At 42.7% G+C, this 17945-nt stretch overlaps 1 protein-coding gene and 1 pseudogene across 1 annotated transcript in view, besides 1 other annotated feature; one reads left to right on the plus strand and one right to left on the minus strand.

Moving 5' to 3' along the window:
• ZNF99 (zinc finger protein 99) overlaps positions 1-15140 on the minus strand; it is a 31969-nt gene extending 16829 nt beyond the window's left edge. Inside the window, exons 1-2 of the mRNA NM_001080409.3 lie at positions 15003-15140; positions 187-313 (exon numbers count right to left, since the gene is read on the minus strand). Coding sequence (NP_001073878.2) covers positions 187-313; positions 15003-15005 — 130 coding nt within the window. The 5' untranslated portion in view covers positions 15006-15140. The remainder of the gene's footprint in view (positions 1-186; positions 314-15002) is intronic.
• BNIP3P34 (BCL2 interacting protein 3 pseudogene 34) lies at positions 4842-5410 on the plus strand (annotated as a pseudogene).
• Positions 9786-10285: an enhancer, noted in NCBI's record as "H3K4me1 hESC enhancer chr19:22961599-22962098 (GRCh37/hg19 assembly coordinates)". NCBI's record gives its function as "activates a minimal SCP1, AML or CMV promoter by ChIP-STARR-seq in naive H9 embryonic stem cells {active_cell/tissue: H9 hESC(naive)}" and the evidence as "EXISTENCE:reporter gene assay evidence [ECO:0000049][PMID:30033119]".
• Positions 15141-17945: the final 2805 nt, after the last annotated feature.

Here is a 17945-nt window from a genome sequence, read left to right on the forward strand (position 1 = left end):
AGAGCGAAACTCTGTTTCAAAAAAAAAAAAAAAAATTCTTTTCTACACTTTCAAATCCCTGTTTTCAGAAAACGGGTATCTGAAACTTATTTATGCTAAGCATAAATCACCAAAACACATCCTACAGAAAAGAGAAATGAAACCTATAGAATATAATAGGAATTGCTTAATTAAAATCATCCTCACCCAGGAAGACCAGGTTTCTGTAGTTCTCTAACATAACATTCCTATATAAATTCTGCTGAGCCATGTCCAGGCATTGCCACTCCTCCAGAGCGAATTCTATGGTCACATCCCAAAATGTCAACGATCCCTGAAAAACACAACAAAGATACATATAGATTTCCCAATTGGCCATGGACAGAATTTTTAATTTGACTCAAGGTGAAATGAGAGAGTAAAGAGAACAGGTTCTAACTTACAGGGATGACTGAACGTATTCAGTAAAATAATTTTCAACACAGAAATCGTCTCGGCTGGGCGCAGTGGCTCATGCCTGTAATCCCAGCACTTTGGGAGGCCAAGGCAGGAAGATCACGAAGTCAGGAGATTGAGACCATCCTGGCTAACACGGTGAAACCCCGTCTCTACTAAAAATACAAAAAATTAGCCGGCATGGTGGTGGGTGCCTGTAGCCCCAGCTACTTGGGAGGCTGAGGCAGGAGAATGGCATGAACCCGGGAGGCAGAGCTTGCAGTGAGCTGAGATTGCTGCACTCCAGCCTGGGCGACAGAGCTAGACTCTGTCTCAAAAAAAAAAAAATAAAGAAAAGAAAAAAAGAAATATTCTCTAATGTATTCTCAAACTCTGAGAAAAAAAGAATGGCAGAAGATCCACAACACCAGCACAGACAAGATACTTTTCTGGATAATAAAGTATAAAATTAAGGGCATGATAACATGTACATTTTTGAGTGCTATTTTTAAATCATACAGAATAAGTCTTGTACATTTTTCAGACCAAAAAGACATGTTGAGTTAGAAGACACCTCTCAAATTTTAATGTGTACAATTAACTGGAGATCTTGTTAAGCATATTTATTTTATAAGATCTGGAATAAAGTCTGAGTTTCTGAATTTGACAAGCTCACCAGTAATGCCTGTTTTTGGCCCCAAAAGAATCTTTTGTTAAATATTCAGCAAGTGGAGGAGCCTGTATTTTTCCCAGTTTTTCTGCCCTATAAACAAAGACGAGAGCCCTCATTTTCCAAAGATAGATATATGCAGAGAAAATCTAAGAAAGGCAGGTGCCAGATTAAATGTGATCATTGGTGCACATCAGCTACATAAAGATACTTAATAACGAGGAGAAAAATAGTTAACTCTATACTGAAAAAACCTGTCAGACAGCTTTTTTTTTTTTTAGACAGAGTTTCTCTCTTGTCACCAAGGCTGGAGTGCAGTGGCGCGATCTCGACTCACTGCAACCTTCGCCTCCTGGGTTCAAGCGATTCTCCTGCCTCAGCCTCCCGGGTAGCTGGGACTACAGGCGCGTGCCACCACGCGCAGCTAATGTTTGTATTTTTAGTAGAGACAGGGTTTCACCATCTTGGCCAGGCTGGCTTCAAACTCCTGACCTTGTGATCCACCCACCTCGGCCTCCCAAAGTGCTGGGATTACAGGCATAAGCCACCGCGCACAGCTCAGACAGCACTTTAATCAAGTCAATCATTAACATCAACTGCAGTAGGACAAATTTTTATGATGTGCTGATGCACACAGAAGGGCACACAGAAGGACACAGCATTACTGCTGTGATATTGCTCCCCCAAAGTAAATTATAATCTGAATTTAACCATAAAGAAACATCAGTTTATGCAAATGTCAAGACACAGATAACTCCCATTTTTTGTAACTTTTAATAGCCATTTTAAGCAGACTTTCTTTAGCACACTAGAGAGCAGGTATCTCCTAACCATTTTTTTCAGAACTTTTTTTTTTTTTTTGAGATGGAGTCTCACTCTGTTGCCCAGGCGGGAGTGCAATGGTGCGATCTCAGCTCACTGCAACCTCCACCTCCCGGGTTCAAGCGATTCTCCTGCCTCAGCCTCCCGAGTAGCTGAGATTACAGGTGCCCCACACCACGCCTAGGTATTTTTTGTATTTTTAGTATAGACGGGGTTTCACCGTGCTGGCCAGGCTGGTCTCGAACTCCTAATCTCAGGTGATCCACCCGCCTTAAAGTGCTGGGGTTACAGGTGTGAGCCACTGCAACTTGCCTTTAAAAAGCATTTTCTTTTTTTTTTTTTTTTTTTTTTTTTTTGAGGCAGAGTCTTGCTCTGTCGCCCAGGCTGGAGTGTAGCAGCCTGATCTCCGCTCACTGCAAGCTCGGCCTCACGGATTCACGCCATTCTCCTACCTCAGCCTCCCGAGTAGCTGGGACTACAGGTGCCCGCCACCACGCCCGGCTAATTTTTTGTATTTTTAGTAGAGACAGGGTTTCACCGTGTTAGCCAGGATGGTCTCGATCTCCTGACCTCGTGATCCGCCTGCCTTGGCCTCCCAAAGTGCTGGGATTACAGGCGTGAGCCACCGGGCCCAGCTAAAAAGCATTTTCTTAAAGCTGTTCTGCATAGAGCTAATGGAGAACACAGATGGAGCCTCAACATTACATGTTCTACTTTTTCCGTAAGGACCCCAGCTTTTCCCCAATAGGAATCTTGAGTATCCACACCTTCCCCTATTCAACAACCACAGGTGAAACTTTTTTTTTTTTTTTTTTTTTGAGACGGAGTCTTGCTCTGTCACCCAGGCTGGAGTGCAATGGCACCATCTCGGCTCACTGCAACCTCTGCCTCCCGGGTTCAAGCGATTCTCCTGCCTCAGCCTCCTGAGTAGCTGGGATTACAGGCGTGTGCCACCACGCCCGGCTAATTTTTGTATTTTTAGTAGAGACAGGGTTTCACCATATTGGCCAGGCTGGTCTCGAACTCCTGACCTTGTGATCCGCCCGCCTCGGCCTCCCAAAGTGCTGGGATCACAGGCGTGAGCCACCGCGCCCAGCCTGCTCTGGCACATTCTAAATAATATGTCTACCTAGGAAAAATCTGAGGAAACATAGATATAAGTTGACCGTTTATTTGGGCCAAGCTTGAGGACTGTAACCTGGGAGCAAATATTCAAGTTGCCTGAAATATATACTTGATTAGCAGTGTGATTACAAGTTGATTTGTAAAGGCTAAAAAAGATGGACAGAGAGTGAGTTGATACAAAGTTGTCTGTCAGAAATTTTTATTTATTTACAGGAATAACATTGATTATTGATTGGATATACACCATTAGTTTTTAGGTACAAGTTATAGTGTCCAGTGTGGCATTATTAATATATAGCTACTTGTGGCAATAGTGAACAGCTTCAAAAGATGAATACATAGTGCAAAAAACAAAAAGAAGGTCGGGTACGGTGGCTTGCGCCTATAATCCCAGCACTTTGGGAGGCGGGCAGATCACCTGAGGTTGGGAACTCAAGATCAGCCTGACAAACATGGAGAAACCCTATCTCTACTAAAATACAAAATTAGCCTGGCATGGTGGGGCATGCCTGTAATCCCAGCTATTCGGGAGGCTGAGGCAGGAGAATCACCTGAACCCGGGAGGCAGGGGTTGCGGTGAGCCGAGATGGTGCCATTGCACTCCAGCCTGGGCAACAAGAACGAAATTCTGTCTCAAAAAAAAAAAAAAAGACAGAGAGAAAGAGAATTCTACTCTCATTTTAGTGTCTCTATAAGTTTGACAACTAAAAGGACTTGCATCTCTCAGAAAGAAAGTTTTTCTTTTTTCTCAAATCTGAAAACCTGGATTCAGAATTTGAAGTTGCAGTTTTAGGTCCTGAATGGATGGAGTAGCAGCAGGTGTTCCCTGCACATCTGTGGGCATTTTAACAAGAGGAAGAAAAAGGAAGTAGAGATTCCCATGTGTACATGTCTACTCAATGCACACATGTTACTGTGACTGGGTTTCTGGGCCCCATGGTCTGTGAATCAGTTTCAGATGTGAAGATACAAGAGTCACTGAAAAAGGTAAAACGGCTGTTTGCTGCCCTGTGAAGTTTGTAGAATTCTGATCTAGCCTCTCTAAAAGTTACTGTGGAGGACTATAGATACCAAATTGGCAGAGAAACAATTCTGCCTGCATATTTAGGGGACAGCATGCACTTTGCAGCACAATTGTGAGTTGAATGATAGCCTGAGAGGGAAAGTTTCCTCTAGCTTAAAGCTTGGGTGGCACCTTATATTTTTGTAACATGTCTGATAATTCTAGAGTTTTTGTGAAACATAAAAGACAAATTTTCTTCAGCCCCGGAGAAACTCCACAATAATAGAACAGACATAAAACTGTTGTATTACACAATTAAACCTGAACGTGACATGCATCACAGTCAGTCTGCTTAAGAGACTGCAAAGACAAAAGGATGGTCACCTTAATTAGTTAACAAGTAGAAAATTTATAGCACCATGTCATACATAGTTATTCCTAAATTCACCTGGTAATTGAAAAGGCTAGCCATGTAGGCTAATCAGTTATGTTCAATGACAAAATAAACTTTTCATATCTTCATGAAAGGAGGTAATTTTGCAACTTGAAGCCAGGTGCCTGCTGAAGGTAGGCTCTCAATCTCCTACAAAAATGGTTGAATAGGGTGCTATCTTTTTGGCTATTTATATTTTAAAGCAATGGCTCTCTACTCCCTGAGCACTGGGGCTACTCCTCTCCCGCTTGCACTCTCCTGTTAGCTGGTGTCCTCTCTTGACCCCTACCATCTGCCATTGAGGCAGAGCTCACAGCTGAAAGCTCACATCTTACATAAACCACAACTGCCACAGCAGCACTCCAGTGACACCTCAGAGAGGGAAGCCTGAGCTGCAGGAGAAAAGCCTGCAGGCCTCCTGGGGAGAACTGCACCTTCACATTAATGGAAATTGGAACAGTAATTCAGCCTCAGTTTTTATTTACAATGGTGACATGGAAAAACCACTGCTGGATTTCCAACATGAGTCCAGACAGAGATAGCTCCAAAAGTTCCCACTGTGACAGCCCACCTCTTTTACAGACACCAGGGAATACTTACAATGCAGACACCCAAAGCACTGGACAGAAAAACAGCTCTCAGTCTGAGCAAGATTATGCTGAGAGGAAAAAAGAAGTTAAAACCATCTTAGGTAAAAACTCAGTTTAGACGTAAGATTGATCAAGTCAGCCAGAAAATACTATCTTAAAAAGAATTTCTCTCTCAACAAGCAAAATACACAACTACTCTCAGCATGAGAAACATGAGCATTACGAAGAAAAGGGGCATATTCTCAGCAGAATTTTAGAAGGTTTCTCTTCCATCTCTGCTGCTCTCTCATCTCCTAGCCATTGAATGGGGGTTCCATATTGAAATACATCTCACAATTTCCACCAGCACTTTTTGATGAAGATTTATAATCTGACTTTGTTCATATACTGGAATATATTTAAGCTTGCCACATAGCTAACTAAAGAGCTATTATGGTTTTTGGGTGGCCACATCATCTGTGTTTATTTGTCCTGTAATAGCAGCATTCCGATTTAGTGAAATGAAAGACACTATTAACAGGCCAGGCACAGTGGCTCACATCTGTAATCCCAGCACTTTGGGAGGCCGAGGTGGGTAGATCATTTGAGGTCAGGAGTTGGAGACCAGCCTGGCCAACATGGTGAAACCCCATCTCTACTAAAAATACAAAAATGAGCTGGGCATGGTGGTGGGCGCCTGTAATCTCAGCTATTCAGGAGGCTGAGGCAGGAGAATAGCTTGAACCCGGAAGACAGAGGTTGCAGTGAGCCGAGATTGTGCCATTGCACTCCAGCCTGGGCGACAGAGCGAGGATCTGACTCAAAATTAAAAAAAAGAAAAGAAAAAGAAAACAAAAGTCAGAGATAACACAAATAAATGGAAAACCATTTTATGCTCATAGGTAGAAAAGATCAAAATCATTAAAATGGCCATACTACCCAAAAACGGAACAGATTTAATGCTATTCTTATCAAACTACCAAAAACATTTTTAACAGAACTATAAAAAACTATTTTAAAATTCATATGGAACCATAAAAGAGCCTGAGTAGCCAAGGCAATCCTAAGCAAAAAGAACAAAGCTGGAGGCATTACATTACCTGACTTCAAACTATGCAACAGGGCTACAGTAACCAAAGCCACATAATACTGGTACAAGAAACAGACTTATAGAACAATGCAACAGAATAGAGAGCCCAGAAATAATGCCACAGACCTAAAACCACCTGATCTTTGACAAAACTAATAAGAGGAATGTGGGAAGAAATCCCTATTTAATAAATGGTACTGGGAAACCACCTAGCAGTATGTAGAAAATTGAAACTGGACCCCTTCCTTACATCATATACAAAAATCAACTCAAGATGAATTAAAGCCTTAAATGTAAAACTTGAAATTATAAGAAACCCTTGAAGATAACCTAGAAAATACCATTTTACACATGGGAACTAACTAAGATTTTATGATGAAATTACCAAAAGCAACTGCAACAGAAGTAAAAACTGACAAATGGGACCTAATTAAATTAAATATCTTCTTCACAGCAAGGAAATCATCAACAGAGTAAACACACAACCTACAGAATAAAAGAAAATATTTGCAAACTATGCTTTTGACAAAGGTCTAGTATCTAGAATCCATAAAAAACTGAAGTTTACAAGAAACAAACAACCTCCTTAAAAGTAAACAAAACGCAGCCAGGCGCGGTGGCTCATGCCTGTAATCCCAGCACTCTGGGAGGCTGAGGCGGGTGGATCACCTGAGGTCAGGAGTTCGAGACCAGCCTGGCCAAGAGGGTGAAACCCAGTCTTTACTAAAAACACAATTAGCTGGGCGTGGTGGTAGGCACCTGTAATCTCAGCTTCTCGGGAGGCTGAGGTAGGAGAATCTCTTGAACCCGGGAGGCAGAGGTTGCAGTGTGCCGAGACTGTGCCACTGCACTCGAGCCTAGGCAACAAGAGTGAAACTCCACCTCAAAAACAAAACAAAACATAACAAAAACCTAGTAGACAAAAGGCTAAGAGTAAGATTAAAGGCTCACGCCTGTAATCCCAGCATCTTGGGAGGCCAAGGAGGGAAGATCACTTGAGATCAGGAGTTTGAGACCAGCCTGGCCAACATGGTTAAACCTCATCTCTACTAAAAATAAAAAAATTAGCTGGGTGTGGTGGCAGGCGCCTATAATTCCATCCACTCAGGAGGCTGAGGCAGGAGAATCACTTGAACCCAGGAGGCGAAGGTTGTAGTGTGCTGAGATTATGCCACTGCGCTTTAGCTTGGGTGACAGAGTGAGGCTTCATCTCAATTAAAAAAAAAAAAAAAAGTAAACAAAAAACATGAGCAAACTTTTTCCAAAATAAGATATATATATATATATATATATATATATATATATATATATATATATATATATATATGGCTAACAAGCCTATGAAAAAAATACTCATCACTACAGAAAAGCAAAGAAAAACCACAATGATATACCATCTCATATCAGTCAAAATGGCTATTACTACAAAGTCAAAAAATAACAGATGCTGGCAGTTGCAGAGAAAAGCGTATGCGCTGCTGCTAGGAGTGTAAATTAGTTCAACCATTGTGAAAAGCAGTGTGGCGATTCCTCACAGAACTAAAAGCAGAATTACCATTTGACCCGGCAACCTCATAATTGGGTATATACCCAAAGAAATAAAAATTATTCTGTCATAAAGACACATGCACATGCATGTTCACTGAAGCACTATTCACAATAGCAAAGACATGGAATCAACCGAAATGCCTATCAATGGTAAACTGGATAAAGAAAATATGGTACAGGTAAGGTTTGGTGGCTCATGCCTGTAGTTCCAGCACTCTGGGAGGCTGAGGCAGGTAAATTGCCTGAGCTCAGGAGTTCAAGACCACCCTAAACAACATGGCAAAACCCTATGTCAACAAAAAATACAGGAAGAAAAATTAGCTGGGCTTGGTGGCACACACCTGTAGTCCCAGCTAGTTAGGGGGCTGAGGTAGAAGAACTGTTTGAGCCCGGGAATTTGAGGCTGCAATAAGCCAAGATCATGTCACTGTACTCCAGCCTGGGTGACAGAGACCCATTTTCAAAAAATAAAATAAAGTATTTAGCAAAAACAAAACATGGTATATAAACATCATGGAATACTGCATTGCCATAAAAAGTGAACAAGATTATGTCATTTGCAGCAACATAGATGGAGCTGGAGACCATTATCCTTAGAAAACTAATGCAGAAAGAGAAAACCAAATGCATGCTCTCATTTATTAGTAAGAGCTAAATAATGAGAACACAAAGAGGGGAACAACACACACCCTTCTAGTTAAGGGTGGAGGACAAAGAGGATCAGAAAAATAATACCTGTGTGGTGCTGTGCTTAATACCTCAGTGACAAAATAATCTGCACACCAACTCCCGACACAATTTCCTCTATGTAACAAACCTACACATGTACTCCTGAATCAAAAATAAAAGTTAAAACAAAAAAACTCTATGGGTGAAAGAGAGTGCAATGCAGGTGGAAGGACTGGTTTGTGCTACAGATAGTGGCCCAGGTACGGCTCTACTCTGATTAATTTTTGGGTTCATGCTGGCAGATGATATTATGAACAGGTTGTCCAGAACCTCATGTTGGTGGAAAAAACATGTTGCTGCTGCAGATTCAGTGTCTGGGGTTGGGATATGCCAGGAGACTTGTAGACACTTGAGTGAGATTTGGCAGGAAACACTAGGATCAAAAATGCTGTAGTGAAATTCCTGAGGGTGGTAACTAGTTCTAAGAGGGGTGTGGATAAGCCAGTGTCCAGTGGATATGCTTGTAAGAAGGTGGGAATCCTGTGATGGCAGCAGTGGAAAAAGGCGGTCTGTTCGCATATTCTCACTCATAGGTGGGAATTGAATAATGAGAACACTTGGACACAGGGTGGGGAACATCACACACCAGGGCCTGTCGTGGGGTGGGGGGAGGGGGGAGGGATAGCATTAGGAGAAATACCTAACGTAAATGATGAGTTAACGGGTGCAGCACACCAACATGGCACATGTATACATATGTAACAAACCTGCATGTTGTGCACATGTATCCTAGAACTTAAATTAAAAAAAAAAAGAAAAAGGCGGTCTGTTATTAGAACTTTTTTCCTCTTTTTTATCCTCTCTCACCCTGGGAGGAGACCTGAAATCACAGGGTAATGGGCAGTGTGATGGCCTGTGTACAGAAAAGCAGAGCCTCCCATTCCTAGACACCCAGAGATCCATTCCAGACCAGGCCTCTGTGATATCTCTCAGCTGGAACCAAATTTGTAGAGTTTGCTAAACACCAAGCAATTCTCCCACACCAACTCACTGTCTGACATTCTCCAACACCAACTCACTGAATTCTGACACCACCCAGAGTCAGCACACACCCTGATTCAGGGCTCAGTCTCACAACATTGTTCTTACTGAAAAAGCCAGTCACAAACCCCATGGGCCCATCTTTGCTTCTGAGCTACTGTTTAAAAACTGGGGACTCTCATAACATTCCTCAAATTCAATAATTTTATAGAGCTAGTCACAGAACTCAGGAAAACACTGTAGTTACATTTATCAGTTTATTAGAAAAGATACAATCCAGGAAAAGTCAAATGGAAGAAATGTATAGGACAAAGAAAAGATGTGGGGAGGCTGAGCACGGTGGCTCACACCTGTAATCCCAGCACTTTGGGAGGCCAAGGTGGGCGATCACCTGAGGTTGTGAGTTCAAGACTGGCCTGAACAACATGAAGAAACCTCGTCTCTACTAAAAATACAAAAAAATTAGCTGGGCGTGGTGGTGCCTGCCTGTAATCCCAGCTACTCAGGAGGCTGAGGCAGGAGAATCGCTCCAACCCAGGAAGTGGAGGTTGTGGTGAGCCAAGATTGTGCCATTGCACTCAAGCCTGGGCAACAAGAGCAAAACTCTATCTCAAAAAAAAAAAAGAAAGAAAAGAGGTGGGGAAAGATAAAGCATATAGATAATCCTGGTAAATAGCTGTGATTAATAAAATTCTCTATCCTTTGTGTGCTCCAGGAACAGTTTCTGGAAAGAAACACCCTTCCCATTATGACTTCGATGGTGCTCTCTTTTCTTACCTATCACATAGCCAGACACAGACTCTGCACATTGTCTCCTTTTTCTCATTAAAAAATAAATAAATAAATCGGGCCGGGCGCGGTAGCTCATGCGTGTAATCCTAGCACTTTGGGAGGCTGAGGCAGGCGGATCAAAAGGTCAGGAGTTCGAGACCAGCTTGGCCAATATGGTGAAACACGGTCTCTACTAAAAACACAAAAATTAGCCAGGCATGATGGCAGATGCCTGTAGTCCCAGCTCCTCAGGAGGCTAAGGCAGGAGAATAGCTTGAACCCGGGAGGCGGAGGTTGCAGTTGAGTCAAGATCGTGCCACTGCACTCCAGCCTCAGCAACAGAGTGAGACTCTGTCTCAAAAAATAATAATAATAAAAATAAATAAATAAATCAGCTGAGTTTGTTTTCAGTGGTCAACCTAAAATATTTCTTAATCAAACATTACTTATTTAAACAGGCTTCTGAACTTTGAGCTACCCTCAGTCTGAGTCAACATACAACCTTATTTTTATGTAGTTCCTAAGTACATGATGACTTCAGTGTAAAACATTCTCTGATCTAAAATCTCTTTCTTTCACCCTCCATTCGCCATCCCCTCCGACCTCCTCTCTAATATGGTTTGCTCTTCCATATGAAACAAGGCCCTTGTCTGCCTAAACTTAGCAATCCTTAAAGATCTTATAGTTGGTATTTCCTCCTGTTGCAATACCCTTTTGGAATTCAATTCTTTTTTCAACATAAATCTAACTTCGTTTTATTTTACAAAGTCTAGAAACTATCTCAAAACAATAACAATTTCATCTTCAGTAAGACCCTCCCAATCCCCTTTCATCTTAACCTTAACTGCATCTGCCTGTGGGTCCCCAGCTTTCCAGGGTTCTGTGGCTTCCCTCAGGATAAAGTCTCCTTCCATGACTGGGGTGAGCAGGCTGGGATATCTGCAGAGAAGACTCCCCAGAAAAAACTAACTGATCCTTTAATAACCTCCTTTTGCAGGCTCAGTATTAGCCTTAGCTTAGAGTCACTGGGCTCAGGCTTTAATCTTCATGTCAGAGTTATTCCCTTGGTTTTTGAAAGTAAGTGTTCGAAAAATTCAGTGCAATTACTCTAACACAGTGTTCATATAAGGGAAGGAAATTTTAAGGTGCTTACACTTTATATCTCAATAAGAGAAACAAAAGTATCTATTCTTTTCAGACAATAAATGTATTATTTTACTATTTCCATTAAAAATCATGTAGTAGGCCAGGCGTGGTGGCTCATGCCTGTAATCCCAGCACTTTGGGAGGCTGAGGCGGGCGGATCACCTGAGGTTGGGAGTTCGAGACCAGCATGGCCAACATGGAGAAACCCCCGTCTCTACTAAAAATACAAAATTAGCGGCGTGGTGGCACATATCTGTAATCCCAGCTACTCGGGAGGCTGAGGCAGGAGAATCACTTGAACCCGGGAGGCAGAGGTTACAGTCAGCCAAGATCGTGCCATTGCACTCCAGCCTGGGCAACAAGAATGAAACTCTGTTTCAAAAAAAAAAAAAAAAATCATGTAGCAAACAATTAGTCATATGGAAACATTTCTAGAAGGTACAAAGTTTCAGCATGAAACTCAGATAGCAAAGTAATAGGATACAGAATAGAGATAGTCACTGTTACAAATTTACCCTGCAAAAGGAGGAACTGATGTTTTCATGAATCTAAGGAACTCACCAATTACCACCTTTTCTTGTGGAAATATGTGCATTTTCTAAAGCCAAAATGGAAGAGAGATTTTCCCTATTTTTCTTCCTTGGTAGCATTTGAAAAGTCAAGCCTTGAAATTCTGTTTAAAATCACCCAACCATAAAAAACACACCAGAGAAAATTCCTAAAGTCATTCTGGGAAAAAGGTAAATGAAAATTTTTAACAAATGGAATATACAATTCAATATTAATTTTATTCTGAAACCCATCTCTTTTTTGCCCTTGGTTAAGTATTTTCTTACCTTTCAATCCCTACTAACAAAATGCAATTTACAGTTAAAAAACTGAGGTCAAAATAAGTGAACAAATCTTTTCAAGGTACAGATGTGTCTGATTCATGTGTCAAGTCAGGCCATCCAATCACTTAAGAGATTCTCCCACCCCATTCTCCTCACTTAAGTGCCCAATAACTCCTTCTCAGGAGACTCTGAACTATGCCCCAGTGAGTGCCCCAGGTAAGAACTTTTCAAGTTCTTACACCATCTCATTGGGGTCACTTTTTTTTTTTTTTTTTTTTTTTGTCGTTTGGGACACTATTTTTGATTTCACAGATTCTCACTATTTTTCTTTCACTATTTTTTCATTATATTTCACTATTGTTCTGCTCCCTTAAAGAATGCAGGGGGCAGAAATTATTTCTGTGTTTTCCCCGCAATACCAGCATCTGATTGGCTGACCAGCAATGTGTCTTCAAAAAATGGAAGCTGGGTTGGGTGAAGACAATCTTAATGTCTCAAGGGTTAGCTTTTCAAAGGAAGAGTATACCAGGAGAGACCTCTCAACCCCAGGGCATCTGCCTTCTTCGTTGAAAGGCTACACTCCACACCTCAGGTTGTCCTACTGGAGAAAATGACCAGGAGCTGATATTCACTAGACACTCTAGCAGACATAGCCATGGGGAATATTTTAGCTAATTCCCAGACAGTACTGAAACCCAGGACCAGGGAAAAAACTGAAGAATGGCTGAAAACACATCATAAAGTTTCCAAAGGAAAACCTTTACCTTTACCCCAAAACATTCTGCTAAAATCTGTGGAGCAAGGAGGAAAAAAAAAAAGCGGCACAAAGATTTTTTACAACACAGTGTCAGGGGATTATTTTTTGCTTTCTTCTCTTAGGAAATATTCACAAACAGAAAACAAATATTATGAAAAGTACCATCCAATGCTTTGTTAAAAAATAAAATACAGTATCAAAATGTACACTAAGGACAAATAGTAATGTGAATCAGAGAGGGAAAATTGACATTATGAACTGGAAGTTTAGTATTTTATTGCAAGCCAGAGTTAGGCTGCAGGAATTGGGGTTTGGGAGTAGACATAATACTCTGCTTGAGATACCTGTAAAAAATGGAGGGGAAAATCAGTCATCTGAGGAGTGTGAAAATAATTAAAAATAATTAAGTGGCAGGCAAATAGACTGAGGTGGCTCTAGTGCCTGATATCTACTTTTTTTTTTCTTTTTTTTTAAGACAGTTTCGGTCTTGTTGCCCAGAATGGACTGCAATGGCGCGATCTCGGCTCACCGCAACCTCTATCTCCCGGGTTCAAGCAATTCTCCTGCCTCAGCCCCACGAGTAGCTAGGATTACAGGTACAGGCATGTGCCACCACACCTGGCTAATTTTTGTATTTTTAGTAGAGATGGGGTTTCTCCATGTTGGTCAGGCTGGTCTTGAACTCCCGACCTCAGGTGATCCGCCTGCCTCGGCTTCCCAAAGTGCTGGGATTACAGGCATGAACCACCGCACCTGGCCTTTTTTTTTTTTTTTTTTTTTTTAATATGAGAGGGAGTCTCCCTCTCTTGCCCAGGCTGGTGTGCAGTGGCGCAATCTCAGCTCACAGCAACCTCTGCCTCCCGGGTTCAAGCGATTATCTGCCTCAGCCTCCCGAGAAACTGGGATTACAGGCATCTGCCACACTCCCGGCTAATTTTTGTATTTTTATTAGAGACGGAGTTTTACCATGTTAGCCAGGCTGGTCTAGAACTCCTGACTTCGTGATTCACCCGCCTCGGCCTCCCAAAGTGCTGGGATTACAGGTGTAAGCCACCGAGCCAGGCCTGATAATCTACTTTTTAAAAAATCTAATTCGGCCGGACGCGGTGGCTCATGTCTGTGATCCCAGCACTCTGGGAGGCGGAGGAGGGCAGATCACCTGACGTCGGGAGTTCGAGACCAGCCTGACCAAAACGGAGAAACCTCGTCTCTACTAAAAACACAAAAATTAGCCGGGTGTGGTGGCGGATGCCTGTAATCCCAGCTACTCGGGAGGCTGAGGCAGGAGAATCGCTTGAACCTGGGAGGCGGAAGTTGCGTTGAGCCGAGATCGCGCCACTGCACTCCAGCCTGGGCAACAAGAACAAAACTCCGTTTCAAAAAAAGAAAGAAAAAAATATTAATAATTCAAGTGCTTTTTTTTTTGTAAATTACTACATTGGGGGAAACAAAATTCAGGCTTAACCAACTATAAACTACAATTAACCTCTGATTATATAAACGGGAAATTTCCATCTTGATTGTACAAATTAAGAATCTACGTAACTGTACATAACCCATTACTGAATTTGGTTTTCTTCATTATGCACCTTATAAAACTCTTTCCGTCAAATCCCTTCCATAGACCATAAACTACAAACCACAGCTGGGTGCTCTGCCATTTTTGAATCACTCTTTGATTAAATCCTTTATTACTTTAGTGATGACTGCCATCAATTTTTAATAGGAGAAAAGAGGGACTGGAAACCTCACTGGACCAAAGCTCTTCCCATTCATGAACCCGCACCCGGAGTCAGGATTCTCCCCTGACGCCCCTCCCGTGGTCCCTGCACAATCTGTGAGAGAGGAGGCGCTGCGGGTGAAGAGCGGCCCAGAGAGGGCTCCAGGCCAGGGCATAGTCACAGTGCAGGAAGGAGGCAGGTCGCCCGGGGTCCCGCAGTCAGCGCAGCCGCCATCTTATGGCTGAAGGAGACTGAGGCCGAGCTGGGCAAGAGCTCGGGGCGCAGACTGTGGAGCTCACTGAGGGGAGGCCTGAGTCCCGCCACAGCCACTTTCCACCGGTTCCAGTCAGCCCCTTCCCCTTCTCAGGATATCGGACCCGGCACTCTCACCATTTCTAAGCTTCCAGGGGGTCCTGGCGTCCTAGCTGTGGATCTCCAAATACCTACAGGTCACAGGGCCACAGAGGCTAAGGACACAGAGCAGTAAAAACGAGATCCGGAGCTCCAGCTGGAACCAGAAACAACGGCCCCGCCACATCCCACAAGCCGCCCTTTCCGCTCCAGCTGAGTGCCTGATTGGACGGTTCCCAGCCCAGAGTCCCTGATTGGATAATGTTTAAATCCCCGCCTCCTCAGGCCCTGAGTGACAGAAGATGTGATCTGATGCTGAGCTGAATGAAGAGTGACGGGCCGGGCGCGGTGGCTCACGCGTGTAATCCCAGCACTTTGGGTGGCCGAGGCGGGTGAATCACCAGAGGTCAGGAGTTGGAGACCAGCCTGGCCAACATGGCAAAACCCGGTCTCTACTAAAAATAAAAATTAGGCTGGTGTGGTGGCGGGCGCCTGTAATCCCAGCTACTCCGGAGGCTGAGGCACGAGAATTGCTTAAACTCAGGAGGCGGAGGTTGCAGTGAGCCGAGATCGCGCCAGTGCACTCCAGCCTGGATGACAGAGCGAGATTCTGTCACGAAAAAAAGAAAAGAAAAGAAAAAGAAAGGAAAGGATGACAGTCTAGGCTGCAGCCTTTTCAGGCAGGGCTTCCTTCCTGAACTGAGCCAGGCCAACCCCAGAGGGTATTTGCATTTAACCTTTTGTATAAGGTCACATTCTTTTATAAATAATATATTATATGGTTATTCACAAATGAAAAGAATATAACAATTATCTAAAATTTTCAGAGTTTATGACCTTCCTGGCTTCTGGTTTTTTCATCAGATTGCCTGAGGTTTTAAAAAGAAGGCAATCCTCTGAAATAAAATTGTATTTTAAATTTTCTAGTAGCCAAACTTTAAAAATTAAAAAAAAAAAAAACAGGTGGAATTTATTGTAGCAATTTAATTAACCCAATATATCCAAAATATCATCTTAATACGTAAGCAAAATGTAAATTATAAATGAAGTGTAGATATTTTTTGGAACTTCATCTTTGAAACTAACTCTGTATTTTACCTTTCCAGCACATCACAGTTCAGACCAGCCACATTCCAGGCACTCAGTCGCCACACATGGCCAGTAGCTGCCACATTGAAGTGCAGCTCTGACCTTAGGAGAGGGAAGGGCCTGAACAAACCTTTTCTGCCAAAGATGGAAAAAGAGCCTTTCCCTACCAACATCTCTCTTCAGCTCTGAGGGAGGAACAGATAGTAGCCATAAATAAAGCACAGGACAGCAGGAAAAAACAACCACAGGTAGACCACTGCTGGCCACCTGTTGCCTACCTTTATTCCAGAGATCAGAAGGTGAACTAAGGATGGTAAGGCCACAGGAGAAGAAATCTCTGTGTCTTCAAATCTGTGCACAGTCTTGACCTCCAATGTTTAGATATGAAGAAAATAGATTAAAGGAAAACTTACTTTTCTATTTGTCCTTGGCCCTAATGGTCAGGCTGTGGTTATCTGTTTTCTCCTGTGGTATGGGGGACTGTGTGAGTATAGGCACCAATTACATGCATACATGTCCACATATATTTCTGCATTACTCAGCATTCTCTTACGAGGCCTCCAACTTTATATCAGGGGAAAAATCAGTACCTATAGGGTACCCACTGTTAGAAGAGAACTAGTAATCAACTTGTCAATGAATCCTGGCATCCTATCTGCACTGGGTGCATGTATTAATTAGCTATTGCAGCACAACAAATCATTCAAAACTTATTTGCTCATAATTGAGATGGTCAGCTATTTAGGGTGGGCTCAGTGAGGCTGTTCTTTTTGTCTCAGCTGAGCTCCTCCAGACATGTATCTTCAGCTGTTTGTTGAATAGGCAGCTGTGCTTCTGGGGATGAGCTTCTGCTTCTGGGGCTGTCAACAGGGGCAACTTGCTTCTCCTCCCCATGGTATCTTATCCTCCAGCTGGCTAACATGGGCTTTATTCATGGAGATGGCAGCATTCTGAAAGAAAAACAGAAGCATTCAAGACCTTTTGAGCCTACGCCCCAAACTAGTACATTGTCATGTTCACAGGTTTCTACTGCCCTGAGTGAATAAGGCCAGCAAAATCTAGGGTTTGAAAAGCATTCTGGATCTTGATGGGAACAGCTTTAAAAGCACCTACAATGGGCATGGATACAGGAAAAACTAGAAATTGCTACCATTTTTGAAATCAGTATCATTCTGCCTTTGTTTATTTGTTTGTTTGTTTTGCATATGTGGTTTATAGAACTCTTTCACATCAAGAATCTTGTCCAAAGACACACAGCTACTAAGTGGCTGGGCTGAGACTCAGGATCAACTCTGTCTGACTCCAAAGCCCACACACCTCCATAGATGACACTACTAAAGTAGCTGCCCTAGACCCTTGAAGTGTCCTGGAGGGTGACACTTCCACAGTAGAAGCCAGATTCCTTTTATTTTTTTTTTATTAATCTATTTCACTTCTTTTGAGACAGGGTCTCGCTCTGTCACCCAGGCTGGAATGCAGTAGTGCAATCTCGGCTCACTGTAACATCCTCCTCCCAAGTTCAAGTAATTCTCCTGTCACAGCCTTTCAAGTAGCTGGGATTTCAGGTGCTTGCCACCACACCTGACTAATTTTTGTATTTGTAGTAGAGACGGGGTTTCAGCATGTTGGCCAGGCTGGTTTCAAGCTCCTGACCTTAAGTAATCTGCCTGCCTTGGTCTCCCAAGGTTCTGAGATTACTAACATGAGCCACTGTGCCCAGCCTACATTCCTTTTACATTTGTGCCAATATAGTACTGTTTATCATTGGGAATAATCCTCTCAAGAATTTGCAGAAGTGCACAGTGGCTCACACCTGTAAACCTAGCATTTTGGGAGGCTAATGTGGAAGAATTACATGAGCTCAGGAGTTCAAGTGCAGGCTGGGTAACATAG

Source organism: Homo sapiens, chromosome 19 (assembly GCF_000001405.40).
Source record: "Homo sapiens chromosome 19, GRCh38.p14 Primary Assembly".
Lineage (NCBI taxonomy): Eukaryota > Metazoa > Chordata > Mammalia > Primates > Hominidae > Homo > Homo sapiens.